Source organism: Homo sapiens, chromosome 9 (genome assembly GCF_000001405.40).
Source record: "Homo sapiens chromosome 9, GRCh38.p14 Primary Assembly".
Taxonomy (NCBI): domain Eukaryota; kingdom Metazoa; phylum Chordata; class Mammalia; order Primates; family Hominidae; genus Homo; species Homo sapiens.
In genome coordinates, this window is record NC_000009.12 from 37,857,754 (window position 1) to 37,876,499 (window position 18,746).

The window sequence follows — 18,746 nt, forward strand, 5'->3', positions numbered from 1 at the left end:
ATTTCCTTGTCTGTGCAATGCCTGACAGCTTCCAAGGGTTTGTAGGATAAAGTGAGCTACCATCTGGCTCCTCTCTGTATTTCCCAGTTTTTTCCTAGCCATTCTGGCAGAACTAGTTGCTCTGCCCTATACCTTCCACCACACCCCCCCAGTTGAAATGGTTTCTGCCTATACAAATTCCACATACTGTTCCTCTTCATACTAACTGACGTCTAAGCTCTTATACCATTCATTGTTTATTCTTCTCTTTGTGAACTGAGTATTAAGAGCCAGAGATGGCTTGCTTTTTTTTTTGTCATTTTGGGTCACTTTTGGAGATAGACATTTCTCTACCTTGTTATTTTGGGCAGAGACTAAATCTTAGACTTCTAATTTGTGTTTTCACTGGGTGGCTTTGCCTAGTAGATGCTGGTTATCTTGCATGGCTACTTATGTCAGTAGAATGGTTTAAGAGCTCTTTCTAACCTATATGGCCTATCCACTTGCCTCTGGATATTGAAGTCTGTGATATTTCACTTTAAGGTTAAAGGCTCCTCCTCTTAAATTTAAAGATTTATGCCCAGAAGTATAACATTTTTCCTTTGATTTGTAACACAAACATCTTTTGCAGATTCTTCCTGTTCTCCTTCCACTTGTGCTATGGGAAACAAGTCAAGGCTTCTAATAATCATTGAGAAAAATCTTTATTGATTGACTACACCATCCACAAGAAAAAGAAACTTAATTTAAGAAGAATAGTTAACATGCTTGCTTGTTATTGACCAGTGGTAAACACACAAACACAAATATACAGCAGTTCTATGCCACAGAGAGTTAAGAATGAGGGAAGAGATGATATATGAGGAGGCTGGGAAGAAGAGGAAAATGAGAGGGTGAAAAGAGAGGGAAAACATGGGAGAAGGTGGGGCTTATAGGTGAAGTTGCTCTAAATGTTGGAAATCCTGGATCTTCAGATGTCAGAGTATGTTAACACTATCCTTTGGCAGATATAATAGCTGTATAGAGCAGAGGCTTTCAAATGCATTTCAGCATTAGAACTCTATTTTTGACATGAAATCTGCTGTGGATTCTTAGAGATGTAGCACAAATAAAATCAAAGTAGCTCTGGTTCAAGAAAAATTAGGGAGGCTCTTGACCCTCCAGCCTTCCCCACTCCATCTACACCTCAGCCCACACGTGGTTCCCCACTTTTGCCATCTCCTGAGGAACCCCAAAGGAGCACAGTTAGCAAACCACCTACTTAGAATGCATTTCTTGTCTGGTTTTGTTATAGGTTTTCCAAATTAATTCTTAAAATAAGAGTATATTTTTCTCTAAAATTGTTAAAGTTCAATCATATGTGAAATAGTTATTTCAGTATAGTTTTGTTATAGCAGTGTAATTTAGAGCTTCACAGGTTTCTGTTAATGATGTAGTAATCTGAAGGGAATCTTTAGAAAGAAGGTAACACATCTGCTTGACAAGCAATTCACAAAGGATCTGACAGAGGGAGCTCAATACCTTCAAAATAACTCCTTCCACAGTCAGAGAAGTGTTGAAATATTTCTCTTGCTATTAAATTTCTAAGTTGCTTCCTTACAGTGTCTATGAAAGTGGTTTTTCACGCACCTGAAGGATATAACATATTCCTATTATTAACAGTGCCTTACTCCAGCAGTCATTTTCATTGGGAGTTAGGTAGAAGGAAATGATGAGGCATAGTAGAGTCTATGATTGGCAATGTCTCCCATCCCTTGTTTTGACATGCCTTTATGTGAGGTGTCCTTTCTTACCTCCAACATTTTATTTTTTGTTTATAGTGTTGTTATTGCAGGTGCTTAAGTCCTGATCTTTTTATTTGCTTAAAAGGCAATCCTCATGGCTTCCAAGTATTTCCTTCTCTGGACCAGAAAGCACCAGGACCAATGAGAGGAGAATTGTTACCTTTTACCTTTCTAGAGTCCTTTCATGTCACATAACTTTGGTTCTTACTTAAATAAAGAGCTTTCTGAGATGTAAGATCCAAATAAAAGAACCCCTAGTCAGCTTCTATGCCTTAGCCTTAGGTCAGTGACAATTACTGCTGTGGGAACTTGGATCTTTTGTTCTATTTATACCCTTTCCCCACACCTTCACCCCGCCAAAACTCACACACCATACATTGGGGAGTACCACGCTCTTTAACATATGGTAGCATAAGGGGCAGACTAAGGAATGACGGCATGGGAGGTGGCTGCCAGAAATAAAAAGCTTTGATGAACTGCCTTAGTTTTTTGATAATACAAATCCCACATCCTCATTTTCTTATATCTCAGGAGTTTCACCACGAAATAGTCTTGAAGTCGTAACCCCTGAAGTTCTTGGTGAGAGTGACCACGGAAACTGCATCACGTCCTTACAGCTGCACCCAAAAGGCTGGGCCACTCTTCTTCGGTGCTCAAGCAACAGTGATGATGAGGAGGTACAGGCAGCAGCACTCCACCTTCAACAGGGCTCATTGGACAAATTGCCATTGCCGTGTGTGCAGAGCTTAGGCCGATCGCTGACTGCAGTCTCTGCCTTCAAGGGCATACTGCTAGAGATCCTGCTTCTCGACTCTCCTGTTTCTGTCCTCTCTTGCTTCATATGGTATCATTATCCCTTCCAAACTCTTCTTATTCCTCTCCTGCTGGGGTTGAGCAAGGTGGGAGGTACTTTAAAGGCCAGCATCAGCTCAGTTTTTGCCCAGCTTCTTAAATCTTGCCTCTTTCATCTCACCCTAAACAAACAAACAAACAAACAAACAAAAACCCCTTGTATAATAAACATAGGTCTGAAATGTTTCAGCTAAGCTGGCTAAATGTGAGATTTTACTAAGCCAATTGAGTATCATAATTTTCTTTTTTTAAAAACCAGGGGAAACTCTGGGAAAGGAAGGGACTATACTGATGACTAGGGGGAAAGGTGTTAAATGACTTTATGATTCTCATCACTCTGGAAAGCAAGAGTCTTCCAAGGATCTCACTGGTCCTAGAGGCCACAACTGAAAGGAGAGAAGAGAAGAGCCTTTGAATTGTGTAGGGGAAGAGGTAAGATACTCTAGGGCTTGGATGTACTCCAGGAATTTTTAAAATATCAACATTGTTGTTGCCCTTAGAAAAGAGAATGTATTACTGCAAAAGTCACAGGCAGCCTCAGGGAACAAAAGGCTTTAAAGCATCATAACACAGAATAACCTCAGCTTATGAAGATAAGAAAGTAGGGGGCCTACAAGTTTTGTTAGTTGGGAGGGGGATAGCATTATTCTGAGTGATTTCTTGTAAAAATTCTGTGGCTTTGGCAATCTGTTGAGCTTTTTAAAAATAAGGAATATCTGTAGCACTATTTGGGCTCTGTAACCTTGGTTTGTCTCCCTTCTCTCCCCCTAGTGTACTTGTGTCTATGAATTCCAAGAAGGAGCTCCAGTGCGACCTGTCTCACCTCGCTGTTCTCTACGACTGACTCATTACATTGAAGAAGCCAATGTAGGCAGGGGTTACATCAAAGAACTTTGCTTCAGCCCCGATGGACGAATGATTTCTTCCCCACATGGCTATGGGATTCGCTTGTTGGGATTTGACAAACAGTGCAGTGAACTTGTTGACTGCTTGCCCAAAGAAGCCAGTCCCCTGCGGGTGATCCGTTCTCTGTACTCTCATAATGATGTGGTACTGACAACAAAGTTCTCTCCAACACATTGTCAGATTGCCTCAGGGTGCCTTAGTGGACGGGTTTCTTTGTATCAGCCAAAGTTTTAGGCACAACTTACATCAAATAAGGAACTCTTCTGGTGTTTGACTTAGGAATTGCTTCAATTTAGATGAAGTATTTTCTTTTTAGAAGATCTTATAAGTTTGGGTCAAGATCCTGGTTCTTATGGGTCCATGAACACACTTGTGACCTTAGTACTTGGTCATCCAGCATCATACAGGCATCTCCAAGTTAGACTCTATGCAGCATCATCTTTTGCAGCATTCCTCTGCTCCTGCTGATCTGTGCCACTGAACTCCAGTTCTTCTGGTCATTTTGCATGGTAGCTCTTGTCACGTTCCTTCCTTCCTCACTCTCTATTTCTCTTTCCCTCTCCCTGTCCCTCTCTTTCTTTGTGTTTGTTGATTTTGGTGTCAATTTTGTGGACATTTGGCAGGAGTTTTGACTGGGGTAGGAGAAACCCATGACATTAGAATTGAATAAAACCTAGAAGTTGGATATTGGCATATTGGTTGTTGAAAAATAAATTTCATCCTCACTTATGAGTATACTTGGCCTTTTAAAGTTACTGTTATGTTTATCTATATTGAGCACAGATAATGGCATTATTCTTATAATTGTTAAGATAGTCTTGCAACAAAATGTCTTTTAAGTTTCCTGTTAAAATTATAAAAAGATTTTCATGGTGAGAGGGATTTTATTGTGAAATTCTAGAAAAAAATATTACCACCTCTCTTTGTAATTTACTTTACTTGTATGAATTTAACATCTCTAGCATGTATCCTTACTTGATATTTTGTTCCTATCAACAGCATTAGAAAGGAAAGGAGACAGAATGAGCTTTGGTTATTTCTATTGCACAGAAAAGGATTTTTAAAATTAGATTAGTATAATATCTGGCCATAGAGTGATAAGAACAATATGACTTAGATTTTCTGTATTTCATCTGCCAGATTATTTGAATCACACAGGATGATGTGTTAACAGTATTAGGGTGGAAGAGGAATCAAGAGTAAAGAGGTAGGGGTTTACTCATTTTTCTTCCCTGAGCCAGGTGTGACAAGCCAACTCTGTCACCATTCGTGAGGGGAGAGTTGCAGTCCTCTTCAAGCTGTTATCATAAGTACAGTAGTCAGCTACTTGGATATCAAGACTAAGTGCTGATATGAAGACTTGCCTTTGTGTTTTGTTATGAAACACGCAAGCATAAAGCAGGACTCAAGCACAAGGCTGACTGTTCTACTTTGAATAACAGCTTCCTTGCAGTCTCCTCCACATGGGTGGTACTGTGTTTAGAAGGGATTACCAAAGGCTGGAGCGATTTAAGCTATGCACTAGCCTTGCCCTCTTAGGTTGCATTCTCTTTAGGCCACTGGTTCTCAAACATTAGGGTGCACTGTAACCATTACAGAGCTTGTGAAAAGTGCAGAAACCTGAGCCTCACCTTATGAGATTCTGATTCAGCCAGGGGGAGGACAGGAATCTGTATTTTTCATAGCAACCTCAAGTAATCTTTATTCTGAGGGTCTCGGGATTGCAGGTTGAAAAACACAACCTTAATCAGCAGTAAATTCTTCTCTACTCGGCCAGGCGCAGTGGCTCATGCCTGTAATCCCAGCACTTTGGGAGGCCGAGGTGGGTGGATCACAAGGTCAGGAGTTCGAGACCAGCCTGACCAACATGGTGAAACGCCATCTCTACTAAAAATACAAAAATTAGCCGGGCGTGGTGGTGCTCACCTGTAATCCCAGCTACCCAGGAGGCTGAGGCAAGAGAATCACTTGAACCCGGGAGGCAGAGGGTGCAGTAAGCCGAGATTGCACCACTGCACTCCAGCCTAGGCGACAGAGCGAGACTCTGTCTCAAAAAAAAAAAAAAAAAAAAAAAATTCTTCTCTACCCATTTGGGCTTAAGACAATTCCCAGAAAGTGTTTTCATTATTTAAAAAATAATAATAGTAAATGAAAGCAATTTTAGAGGTGGAAAATACCTTAGAATGGAATCATTTGCATTATTTGACAAATGAGAGAAGTGACATGACTTGCCTAAGGTCATCCTGCAAAGTTAGTGGCAGAGTTAGGACTTGAATTCCAGTCTTCTAATTCCTTGGTCAGGGCAATTTCTACTGTGTTATGCTGTCTGTTAGAAATAATGACTTATGGACACTTTGTCTTTAAGTTGTATTATTGTAAATACCCTTAAACTGGCCAATAGATTTTAGAAAGGCAGGCATGGGAGTAGATGCTGAGAATTCTAGCCATAAGAAGAAAAGTATTTTAAATCTTACAGAAATGTTTAAACAACCCAAAATACATGAATAAAAATGACATTTCTTTGTAGGACCTGCCAACTAACTATTCACACACATTTATAGAGGTTATAAGGATCTTGGCTCTAGAACAAATTTTTGAAATTAGATCATTTTACCATGGATGTTAACAAAATTGGAAATTTTTTGTCACTGAGAAAATTATCACAAAGCACAGTAAATACATATACTTACCATACATTTTGTAAAAAACACATTTTTTAAAGAAAATAGGGATGGGTATGGTGGCTCACGTCTGTAATCCCAGCACTTTGGGAGGCCAAGGTGGGAGGTTCACTTGAGCCCAGGAGTTCCAGACCAGTCTGGGCAACATGGCGAAACCCCATCTCTACCAAAAATACAAAAATTAGATGGGCATGTTGGTACACGCCTGTAGTCCTAGCTACTCAGGAGGCTGAGGTGGGAGGATGGTTTGAGCCTGGGAGGCAGAGGCTGCAGTGAGCCAAGATTGCACTATTGCACTCCACCCTGGGCAATAGAGCCAGATCCTGTCTCAAAAAATAAAAATAGACTGGGCATGGTGGCTCATGCCTGTAATCCCAGCACTTTGGGAGGCTGAGGTGGGTGGATCACTTGAGGTCAGGAGTTTGAGAACAGCCTAGCCAACATGGTGAAACCCTGTCTCTACCAAAAATACAAAAATCATAGCCAAGCGTGGTGGCAGGTGCCTGTAATCCCAGCTACTCAGGAGGCTGAGGCAGGAGACTCGCATGAACCTGGGAGGCAGAGGTTGCAGTGAGCCGAGATCGCACCACTGTACTCTAGCCTGACCAGCAGAGCGAGACTCTGCCTCAAAAAAAAAAAAAAAAATAAAATAAAATAAAATTAGTTTTGGAGGTGAAAACACCCAAACTGTTATTATTTAAAAATACCTACCAAGTACTGTGGTCATATTGACATTCAAAAGAAGTTTCATAAATCGTATCAACTCTGGAAAGAGTTCATGTCAGATGCTAGACCAGCAAGTTACCCAACTCAAAATTCAGCCAATGATTCTTTACTATAGAGTACCTATCATGTGTCAAATAATATACAGACTTCACTACTAACCCTCACAAAAACTTGCAGGGTAGGTGGAATGAGCCCCAATTTAATTTGGAGGTAATAGTGGGTCAGAAAGATTAAATGACTTGCCTTAAGTCATAGAGTTAGCAGTGAGTGGCAGCACTGGGATTCAAACCCAGGTTTGTGTCTTGTCCAAAGCCTGTGCTTACTGCTTTACCATTGTGCTCTTTAGTTTGTAAAGTATGGTAAGCTGGCCTGTTATTTGTTTAGTATCTTCTGGATTTTTTTTTTTTAATTATAGAGCTAGCTTACCGTGTGTATCATGTAAAAAAAATTCATAAGATTAACAATTTCCATGAGAATATCATAAACTCAGGGCACACATTCTGGCCATTCCTGACTAAAAAACTTCAAGCAGAATAAGCAGCTATAAAATAGAAAAGAAAAATTAAGGATAAACGGCATTGTGAAAAAAAACCGAGCCACACAGATGAGAATTAAAAATTAACAGCCAGCAAACTCAAAAGAACCTTTGTCCTCCTTGAGATATGGTGATGATCAAAAAGTTAGCAAGGAATATTAATCAAGGAATTAAAGGGCATTAGGAATGCTATAGTATTGGAAGAAATTACATCTTAACATTTCAAAGCCCCATTTCACTTAAGAGTAAAATCTAATCTGATGTTTTTTACTCTGAATTTTATTCAGTAATTTTTATTCATAATTCATGATAATTGGTAATGTAGTATAATTGTTAGTAAATGCAGTACAAATTGTTCTACTGTTTTAAAAAGTTTTCCGCAGAACAGTGCATTTATGGCAATGCTATGTTTAATGAGTTAGGGACATCAAATATATAGTAGTTCCTTATTTTCAGTTGTGAAAATGAAATGGCTAAAGCAGAAGAGACGTCTATTTTAGTCTTTTAAAAATGTGTGTGGGTGGTCTTTTTTCCTCAGAAGCCCAAAGCACATGTATATTTTGTTATTTCTCCTTGCTATATTCCTGAGACTATACTAAAAACTTTAAGAAAAGGAACAAGAAAAAGGTAAATTCATGTGTTCCCCACTGCTGTGTCTAGAACCAAGATCACATTATATCATTGTTAAAATTGTGTTATCTAGAAAGTGCAATATAGGGAAAACACTCTAAGAATCTTTTAAAAGCCTAGTGTTTCCCTTATTTGTCAGAATATGTGGTAGTGGCATCCATAAGTATCTTTTAACTTGCATTTAGCAGGACAAATAGTGTGATACTTATACTGATGACAATCATCCCCATTTAATGACCAGCAGTCACTGAGCGCTGTGAAAATTCACTCAGTGATACCCCGTGTTGGTCTTGAAGGAAACCGTACATATGAATTTTTGGATAGCTAATGTATATCTCTCAAGTGCCAACATTTAAAACTTGTAATTATTTTTGATGTGAGTATTTCAGGTATGTTAGTATACCTTCCTGCCTTCTTCTTAAACATCATGCTCAGTATAATTCACATTTTCATGATGAAAAGTTAAAGTTATATTCATAATGTATTATTATAAGTATCCAGCTCTGATGTATGTAAAACACTTCATAAAATGTAAAGGGCTATAACAAATATGTTATAAAGTGATTCTCTCAGCCCTGAGGTATACAGAATCATTTGCCTCAGACTGCTGTTGGATTTTAAAATTTTTAAAATATCTGCTAAGTAATTTGCTATGTCTTCTCCCACACTATCAATATGCCTGCTTCTAACAGGCTCCCCACTTTCTTCTAATGTGCTGTTATGAGCTTTGGACATGAGATAACCGTGCCTGTTCAGAGTGTCTACAGTAAGAGCTGGACAAACTCTGGGGGGACACAGTCTTTGAGACAGCTCTTTTGGTTGCTTTCCACTTTTCTGAAAGGTTCACAGTAACCTTCTAGATAATAGAAACTCCCAGTTAAAGCCTAGGCTAGCAATTTTTTTTAGTTGCAACTAAGTAAGATATACTACAAACTAAGGATGCTGCTAGACTAAGGAATAAACAGCAAGGTACCAAAGTACAGCAAAGCAACAACAAAGGCTCTGTATTTGCAGAGGGGTCTATCATGCTTTTAAGAAAAAAGAAGAGTACAGGAAAAAAATTCAGATAGACATAAGAGTATTTTGGATGCCATTAAACTTTGTCAATAACCATTAAAACATAGGCTTAAATTATCACGTATTGTTACAAAGACACAGTTTTGTCTCATTATAAAATAAGATTATATGAAATTTATATTCTAGAAATGATTCCAAATCATGTCCTAAGAATTTCTCCCATTCAAATGATAATGGAAATTACTGTCAAAAGGAAAATCTCAAAGTTACCATTACGCTGCTCTCTTGTAAATGAACTAGGGATAAAGATATGGGTTTTATCAAAAGCCCTAAGGAATATATCTCACATTCACCTCCTATATGTATGTGTATATATAAATGCCACTATAAATGAAAATGTCACCCAGAGATAATAAAATAATTTTTAAAGTTTAAATCTGGTCCAAAGTCTTTAAAATAGGTAGATTTTCAGCTTTCTTAAGTTTCTCCCTCATTTAGATTTCATGGTTTTTACATAAAGGGTGAATATTTGAATTTTCTTTTAAATTTCACTGCATCTTCAATTGCCCAACTGTGTTTCCTGATAAATTTTAGATTCACATTTTTAGGAAATTTGGAGTATTCCAGACAATATACTAGATACCCAGAAACTTTTCTCAGTAGGTTCTGAGGTGTTTTAAGTTCTTATGCTAGACTGTAAGCTCCTTGAGGGCAGAGACTGTTTTATTTATTCTTGTATCCTCAGTGCCTGGTACAGGACTTGACACAGAGTAGTTGTTCAATAAATATTTGTTGAATGAATCAAATGAACCTTCACCATATATGGCCTGAAGCTCTCATGAAGCCAGCAGAATGCAGTGTGCAGATTATTCCGTAATAGAGGAATCCATCATTTATTATTATAATTAACAGACTATATTCATCAGGGTAAGATCTGTTCTGACCATAAGCAAGCAAACATTTCTCATTGACTTGGAAAACTGCAAGTTAAGACTCAGTTTTTCATTCAACGAACATTTGAATCCCTATTATATGCCTAGTTTAGTACTGGGAACTCAAGGGACAAAGATAACTATCGTCTTGGTATTCCATAGCTGTAGTTGAAAGAGATTTAGATTCAGGGCTGGCTTAAAGAGGTTGTACATGTGCAGTTACATAGTGTCCCATACTTAGAAAGATTCCATGTAGGCTGGGTGCAGTAGCTCACACCTGTAATCCCAGCACTTTGGGAAGCCGAGGCAGGAGGATCGCTTGAGCCCGGGAGTTTGAGACCAGCCTGGGGAACATAATGAGACCCCATTTCTACAAAAAATGAAAACACAATTAGCCAGGCATGGCGGCATACACCTATAGTCCCAGCTACTCGGGAAACTGAGGTGGGAGGATCACCTGAGCCCAAGAAGTTGAGACTGCAGTAAGCTGAGAGCACACCACTGCACTCCAGCCTGGGCAACAGAGTGAGATTGCCTCAAAAAAATAAAAAAAATAAAAAAAAAGTTGAAAGGCCTCATGCTTACTTTAATGCTTTGCTATAGCCATCTTGAAATTCTCAACTTTTTGAACAAGGGCACTGCATTTTTATTTTGTACTGGGCTTGCAAATTATGTAGCTGGTCCTACTTAGATGTAATCATTTTGACATGATGGGTACAAAGTAATAAAAGAGTTACAGTATCTTTCACTTACCTTCTAATAAAGATATTCACATTCATTGAGAATTAGCTATAAAATGTATAATTTAGTAAAATAACTTCTGAAATTAAAACCACCTCCTTCCCACAAATTTTTGGACAGATCAAATGTTCTTCATTTCAGAATTACAAAAGCTTTCTAAAACTATAATTGGCTTTTTACCTTTTTAATTGTTTTGAGTCTTTCAAATGGATGAATGTAGAGTTGTAGATGAGTTTATTTTATCTATATACACACCTACATAAACATATAAGGTTTTAATTTAAAAAAACCTTTATATTATAAATGCATTGAATATGTGATATAAGTCTACCTCATAACATGATTTTTTAAAAATAAATGCTACTTTGAAACATTTGACACACTTTTTGTGTGTGGTTAACCTGTTTAAAAGGTTGATGGCAAACTTGATTTAGTAATTGCTGGAGATTTTTTGTTTAAACTACCTATATGTGCATTTTTAGACCAAAATCAAGCACAAGGCTATGACAATGGCAGTGGCTTGGTAATTCTTGTTAGTGACATTCTGGACTTTTTCAATCATGCACTCTCCATCAGAAAAAATTTAAGATCCAAATTTTGATTATCTATAAATGATGGGTATACTATTGTACTGATCTGTTAAGTACATTATAAAACATACACAGAGGAAAATCGAAAGTTTAAAAGGATACGATTTTTAAAAATTAAAGTTCTAAATTTCTTCCTGTACCTCCAGGGATAAACTGGGTCTCAGCTGGTATATGGACATTTCATCTTAGGAAGGCCACTATCTAAAATGTAGAATTGGCATTTTACACTAAAAACACATTTACTAAGATTGCATTCTTTCACATATGTTCACTAATGTTCTAGCCATTTGCAAGTTTATTTGGTATGAATATGTTTGTAGAGTTTCTAAAATTAGTTCTTTATTCAGTGAAAATTGTATTATCAACAGGAAGCATCATTCATAGATTTTTACCCTTTTTGTCAAGCTGTTTACAGTGACTGAATCTTATATAAGAACTCAGAACATGATATTTTTCAGTGTTCTCTAGAATTTCATTTTCTTGTTGTATTATTTAACAGTGTGATTGATGGTTCATTTTACCAGATTATTTTCATTCACCAGAGTATGATAATCATATTTGGGACACTCTTTTTGGTAAATCATTGGAGATTAAAAAAAGAGTGAATCCCTTTGAATTCAAATTATTTTGTGAAATTAATCATTCAGACAAACTGATTTAACTAACCATAGCACTAATTATCACTATTTCGTTATCTCTATGACTGACATATTTTGGGCTATTTAAAAATATATTTTTAATTGAAAGGGAAATAATTATTTGCCATGCGTTAATAATAAGGAATCAACAATGTATATTTGTTTTCTATTGCAGCTGTAACAAATTACCATAAACTCAGTTATTTAAAACAACAAAAATTTATGTTCCAGTTCTGGAGGTCAGAAATGGATCTCACTGGGCTAAAATCAAGGTGTTGGTGGGGCTGTGTTTCCTCTGGGAGCCTAAGGGGACAATTCATTTCCTTGCCTTTTCCAGCATCTAGAGGCCACCTGCATTCCTTGGTTCATTGCCCCTTCTTCCTTCAAAACCAGCAGAAAAGCATATTCTTTTTTTTTTAAAAAGTACTTAATTTTTTTATTTTTGAAGAGGCAGGGTCTCACTATGTTGCCCAGGCTGGGCACAAACTCTCCTGGGCTCAAGTGATCCTCCTGCCTCAGCCTCCCAAAGTGCTGGGATTACAAGTGTACGCCACCGTGCTTACATTGACTTTCGTGATTACATTGGGCCAACTGCATAATGCAGGATAATCTCTCCATTTTAAGGCCAGCTGATTAGCAAACTTAATTCCATTTACAACCTTAATTAGCCCTTGCCCTGTAACATTACATACAAGTTCTGGGTATTAAGGATGTGGACATCTTTAGGGGCTACTGTTCTGTTTGCTTACTGTGTGCTAGTGTTGGGTACTAGCCTTAGCGCTTCACAGGCACTATTTAATCCTTAAGGCATTCTTATGAAGTGGGTACAGTTATTCCCATTTTACAGAGGAAGAAACTGAGGCTTAGATTCGTTTACCTAAAGTCATATACCTAGTGAGTTTCAGAGTTAGACTTCTACCTGGTTCTGTCTGACTTCATAGCCTAACTTCAGTTGCTATACAGCTTTGATAATTCAGTGAGAAAATGTTTACTGCTTACAAACTATGTAGAACATTGTGAATACAGGTGTCATACTGTAAGAGAAATGTATTGCAGCTTTATTCTGTAATCAGGTAAAATTATTCTGATATCATTGTGAAAAAGTTGAAAAGCTTCCGCTTATGTGTATAGGGCCAGTAACATTTTCAGAGTTGTCTTGTAACACATAAGTGCTTTTATTCCCTAGACCTTTATCTACTAGGGCTTAGCTGTTTTAGTTTATAGCTGTCATATACTACTTTTAAAACAAATAATGCTGGACGCAGTGGCTCATGCCTGTAATCCTAGCACTTTAGGAGGCCAAGGCGGGCAGACTGCTTGGGCCCAGGAGTTTGAGAACAGCCTGGGCAACGTGGTAAAACCCCATCTCTACAAAAAATACAAAAAAAGCTGGGCATGGTGGCACGAGCCTGTAGTTCCAGCTATTGGGGAAGGTGGGGGGAGGGGCAGGCAGTGAGGTGGGCGGGTCACCTGAGCCCAGGAGGTCGAGGCAGCCTTGATCATGCCACCAGCCTGGGTGACAGAGTGAGACGCTGTCTCAAAAATAAATAAATAAATAAAAACTAATAACTATTTAGGATATCAACTTGAAACAGGTATTTAAATCACGACACATGTACATTTATAGAACATTATGTACAGTTGGTTGCTGCATCTCAAAAACTACATTATCAGGCTGAAAAAAAAACCACAATATTATTAAAAGGCAAAGATAAGCAAGCTTACAACTTTTTAAGGTTTATTGCTTCCAGAGCCATATTCTTAGAGTTTTTCTCTTGATCTGTGTGGCTTCAACCACATATATTTTTTCCACAATAATGGGATAATTATAGGATTGCCTGGTTCCTGATGGGGTAAAGGTGGATGTATTAACAGAGACGTTATCAGTCATCAGTGGTTATCTGGTGTCTATGCATCATCTCTATTTGGCAGTGTGTCCCAGTGAGTATACTAGGCAGAAATAGACTGCCATTTTAGGCCTTAGAATCAGGTTCTTATCCCTGACTCCCCCACCCTTACAGGAGAGTACTCAAGACCATGGGCAAGTACTCTTGGGAGCTTTATCATTGTCTGCTCACCAAGTATTAGAAGCATCTGCTGTAATACCGCATTAATTAGCTCTGACTTTGTCCTAGTCAGGGAGTGTCATTCTCATTCTTTGGAGAGACTTCATGCTATCCCCTACCTCATGGCATTACATCCCCTCTTGGGAAAGTCCAATTTTTGTATAACAACCACTGGGCCTGTCCCTGAGTTTTCCTCCAGGCTCCTCCCTTTTGGCAAAGGACAAAAAAAAGTGGTGCTCAAACTTTACTGTGCATTAGAATCACCTGGAAAATGTGTTAAAATAGATTGCTGGGTCCCCATCCAGAGTTTCTGATTCTGTAGGTCTGGAGTGGGAGCCCTAGTTTTGCATTTCTAATCAGTCCTCCACTGATGCTGTAGGTCTTAGGGACCACAGTTTGAGAACCACGGATATAGAAAATGCAGTTAAGATTTAGATCTTCCATGGATGACAGATGCCATGGATCTCTGTGTAGATAACAGAAGTCCATTTAGAGAACCTCCTACCTTTTTGAGGCCAATATAGAAGAACAATGTGTCCCTTCAGCTACATCATTTTCAGTACATTATCAGGTTTGCACTTCTTGAACTAGAGCTAAGAGTTCCCTGATTAAAACATGATATTGGCCGGGTGCAGTGGCTCATGCCTGTAATCGTAGTACTTTGAGAGGCCAAGGCAGGCAATCACCTGAGGTCAGGAGTTCAAGACCAGCCTGGCCAACATGGTGAAACCCCGTCTCTGCTAAAAGTACAAAAATTAGCCAGGTGTAGTGGCGCAGGCCTGTAATCCCAGCTACTTGGGAGGCTGGGGCAGGAGAATTGTTTGAACATGGGGGGTGGAAGTTGCAGTGGGCCGAGATCGTGGCATTGCACTCCAGCCTGGGCAACAAGAGCGAAACTCTGTCTCAAAAAACAAAACAATAAAACAAAAACATGATATTTACATTACTGGGCAGTTAAGTAAGCTAAGATGATCTTACCTTCTCAGGAACAGACCTGGTGCTGTGTAGCTTATCTTTTAACTCAAAATGAGAGAGCAGCTACAGAAATATACACTCCCTGGTATAAGCTGTAAATAGCTGCAACTGTTGCTAACAATAGCAATAAATCCAGAAAAGGAACAACTGAAACTTTAACCAGAGCATACACAACTCAAAATACTTTTTAGCCTTAAAAAGTGTTTTAAAAAAAGTTATTTCCAGGGAGCCGGGTGAGGTAGCTCACGCCTATAATCCCAGGACTTTGGGAGGCTGAGGCAGGCAGATCACCTGAGGTCAGGAGTTCGAGACCAGCCTGGCCAACATGGCAAAACCCTGTCTCTACTAAAGATACAAAAAACTAGCTGGGCGTGGTAGTACATGCCTGTAGTCCCAGCTACTCAGGAGGCTGAGGCAGGAGAATCACTTGAACCTGGGAGGTAGAGGTTGCAGTGAGCCGAGACTGCACCACTGCAAGCCAGACCCTGTCTCAAAAAAAACAGTTGTCTCCTTGCAAGTTGTTTAAATTATGAGTACTTTAGAATGCTTTGTTGACATTACTTGTTAAAGTTCTTCTCTATAAAAGGTTAGTTTTTGTTGGGGTAAAATGAAGGATCCAAATTTAATTGTGAAATGGTTACTTTTTAAAAGTTAAAATACAGAGCATCAGATTTGTTCTAAACACATTGCATTTATTCTTAAATAGTTTTTTTCTTGCATACTTAATAAATGTATGTAATTAAAAGAAAGATTTCCTGGCGTTTATTTAAAGTTGCAGTGTATTGCAGGAAAATCATAATTTTCCTAGTAGCCTGGTCCCTGCTAGTCAGGAGGTGGGTAGACCCCTTATTGCTGGGCAGTCTTAGGAAAGAATGCTTTTTCGTTGTTGTTGTTTGTTTGTTTTGAGACGGAGTCTCGCTCTGTCGCCCAGGCTGGAGAGTAGTGGTGTGATCTTGGCTCACTGCAAGCTCTGCCTCCCAGGTTCAAGCCATTCTCCTGCCTCAGCCTCCAAAGTAGCTGGGACTACAGGCACCTGCCACCACGCCCGGCTAATTTTTTTCTATTTTTAGTAGAGACGGGGTTTCACCGTATTAGCCAGGATGGTCTTGATCTCCTGACCTCGTGATCCATCCGCCTCGGCCTCCCAAAGTGCTGGGATTACAGGCGTGAGCCACTGCGCCCAGCAGGAAAGAATGTTTGAAAGATTGGCCTCTGTTTTAGCCACCAGCCCTGTCACATTCAGGAGGGGATAGTCCAGACCTCAGTGGGAGGGAACTGCCATATTATCATCATTAGTGGGGAAGACAAGTAAATTTCTAGGCCACAGGCTTGTGTTCCCTTCTAGCAAGTATTTCAGTGGTATCTTATAACTTCATAGCAATCTAAGAATAGCATACTAAAAGAGCTAAACTGAGTTTCTCAATTATTCAGCAATAATGATAAACCCCCTAATGGTTTTTCCCAACATTTTATTATGAAAATGTCCAAACAGCAAAGTTAAAAGAACTTTACAGTGAACACTGTTTACCAAGGTTTTACCATTAATATTTTACTTGTTTTATCCCTTAACTAACTCTGTCCATCAGTCCATCTTGTTTTATTTATTTTTTTGAGACGGAGTCTCTCTGCGTCGCCCAGGCTGGAGTGCAGTGGTGCAATCTCGGCTTACTGCAACCTCCGTCTCCCAGGTTCAAGTGATTCTCCTGATTCAGCCTCCCAAGTAGCTGGGGTTACAGGCACCCACCATCACGCCTGGCTAATTTTTGTATTTTTAGTAGAGATGGGGTTTCACCATGTTGGCCAGGCTGGTCTTGAACTCCTGACCTCAGGTGATCCACCTGTCTCAGCCTCCCCAAGTGCTGGGATTTACAGGTGTGAGCCACTGCACCCAGCCTAATCCATCTTAATTTTTGATGCATTTTAAATTGCTGACATCTGTACCCATCCTTCTAAAAGTCCTCACATGACTAGAGTTTAACATTTGTTTTTTTCTTTTGTTGTAAAATTTACATAGAATGAAGTACACAGATTAACTCTACATTACTTAAATTTATATAAATGTATACACCTGTGTAACCCAAACATCTGTCAACATATAGAGTACTACCACCATCCCAGCAAGTTCTCTCCTGCCTCTTCCAGGTGAACCTCTGCCCCCATCCTCCCAGAGGGAAACACTGTTTGTTTGTTTGTTTGTTTCTGCTACAGATTTTCCTCTTCTAGAACTTCACGTAAGTGAAATTATCCATTATGTATTCCTCTTGATGATTTCTAAAAGAAATTCTTAAGAAATTAAAAGGGTTTCCGAAACAAGGAGAATAATTGATAAAGAAAATATCAGAGATCAGATTGATTACTTCATTAAATGTATTTATTATGAGAACCTCTAATCTGTGGATATAGAAATCTGAAAGACAGACCCTGCCCTCGAGGAGATCACATTGTCCTGGCAGATAAAGTACAAACATGCAGTTAGAGACAGGCAAGAAACAGTTATCACTTGGCACAGAAGGGGCCTAATCCAGCCTGGGAGGCGATGGAGAAATCAAGAGACATTTACATTTTCACTTTGGAACTTGTCTCGGGCAGCCAGTGCTCTTTATTTTCCATAAAAGTCTAGAACCTCTTAACTCAAAATGATTTGTCCTGAAATGGCAGTTTTACAACACTGAGTAGGTGTAACACAAACTCGCTAAATAAAATAAATGAGGAAAAACTGTAAAAGGCACAAACTGAAATTATTGGGGATTCTGTTTTCCTCTAGTTCGAGTTGAAATAGACTCAAATAGATGTGTTATTGCTCCCAAACACAAATAACATGCATTCCTGTTCTTGGATCACAAGTGGCAGAAGCTTTCAAGAGCTCTAGATAGCAACAGCAAAACTTTAATCTTCTTGGACTTCCCTTTAACCTTCTCAAGGTATATAAAACTGTTGCTGGTTGGGCATGGTGGCTCATGCCTATAATCCCAGCACTTTGGGAGGCTGAGGCGGGAGGATCATTTGAGGCCAGGAGTTTGTGACCAGCCTAGGCCAACATAGCAAGACCTCATCTCTACCAAAAACCAAAACCAAATCAATTGTATCTTCAAACTGAGGCCCTCATCTCCTAATTTTTTTTACTCTTTACTTCCATATTTTACACACAGATTACAAATGAAAGATCCTCAGTTTCCACCTGTACCCACTTTTTCCTACCTTGGTCCTTCTCAGAACTCTATCACTGTTATTTAATGAGGAGGTAAAGCCCGAGAAAACCTGGAAATTTGTTTAGCCACACTTTCCCCAGAAAACTGAGAGGGCTAAGGAAAATTCTGAAGCTTCTTTTGCCCAAGGAAACAAGAAAGCTACTTACTATAAACCACCCATTATAGATATGATGACCCTTGAAAGAGAAATAGTTTATTTTTCTTCGTATTGTCTGAAACAAGAGAGCATCTCAGTGTAACTAAATGCATTTTTTAGTGTACATCAGAAGGAAGTAATTGCTTAATAAAGAGGGCCTGAACTGAGTTTGTTTTATTTCTGTTGATCATGAAAGGTAGAGCAGCTGTAGAGGTGAGCTGCCCTAAAACAATGTAAACAAGTCACTGCCTTAATGGTGCTTCTAACAGTAACAAAGCAGTGCTCCATGACAAACTATTCTAAAGAATACTTTCTTCTTGCTCTTCCTAGTCAATTTCATTCAATTGAG

The 18,746-nt window shown here is 38.9% G+C and overlaps 1 protein-coding gene across 8 annotated transcripts in view; it reads left to right on the plus strand.

The window, feature by feature from the left end:
• The window catches only part of DCAF10 (DDB1 and CUL4 associated factor 10), a 67,111-nt gene extending 57,200 nt beyond the window's left edge, over window positions 1-9,911 (plus strand). For 7 of the 8 annotated variants that reach the window (NM_001286810.2, XM_047423865.1, XM_047423866.1 and 4 more), the window contains 2 exons: window positions 2,295-2,440; window positions 3,387-9,911. In NM_001286810.2, the coding sequence (NP_001273739.1) occupies window positions 2,295-2,440; window positions 3,387-3,755 (515 nt within the window). In that variant the 3' untranslated portion in view covers window positions 3,756-9,911. Of the gene's footprint in view, window positions 1-2,294; window positions 2,441-2,874; window positions 3,048-3,386 lie in introns of those variants that run through there. The other variant, XM_047423864.1, reaches the window with a different exon arrangement.
• Window positions 9,912-18,746: the final 8,835 nt, after the last annotated feature.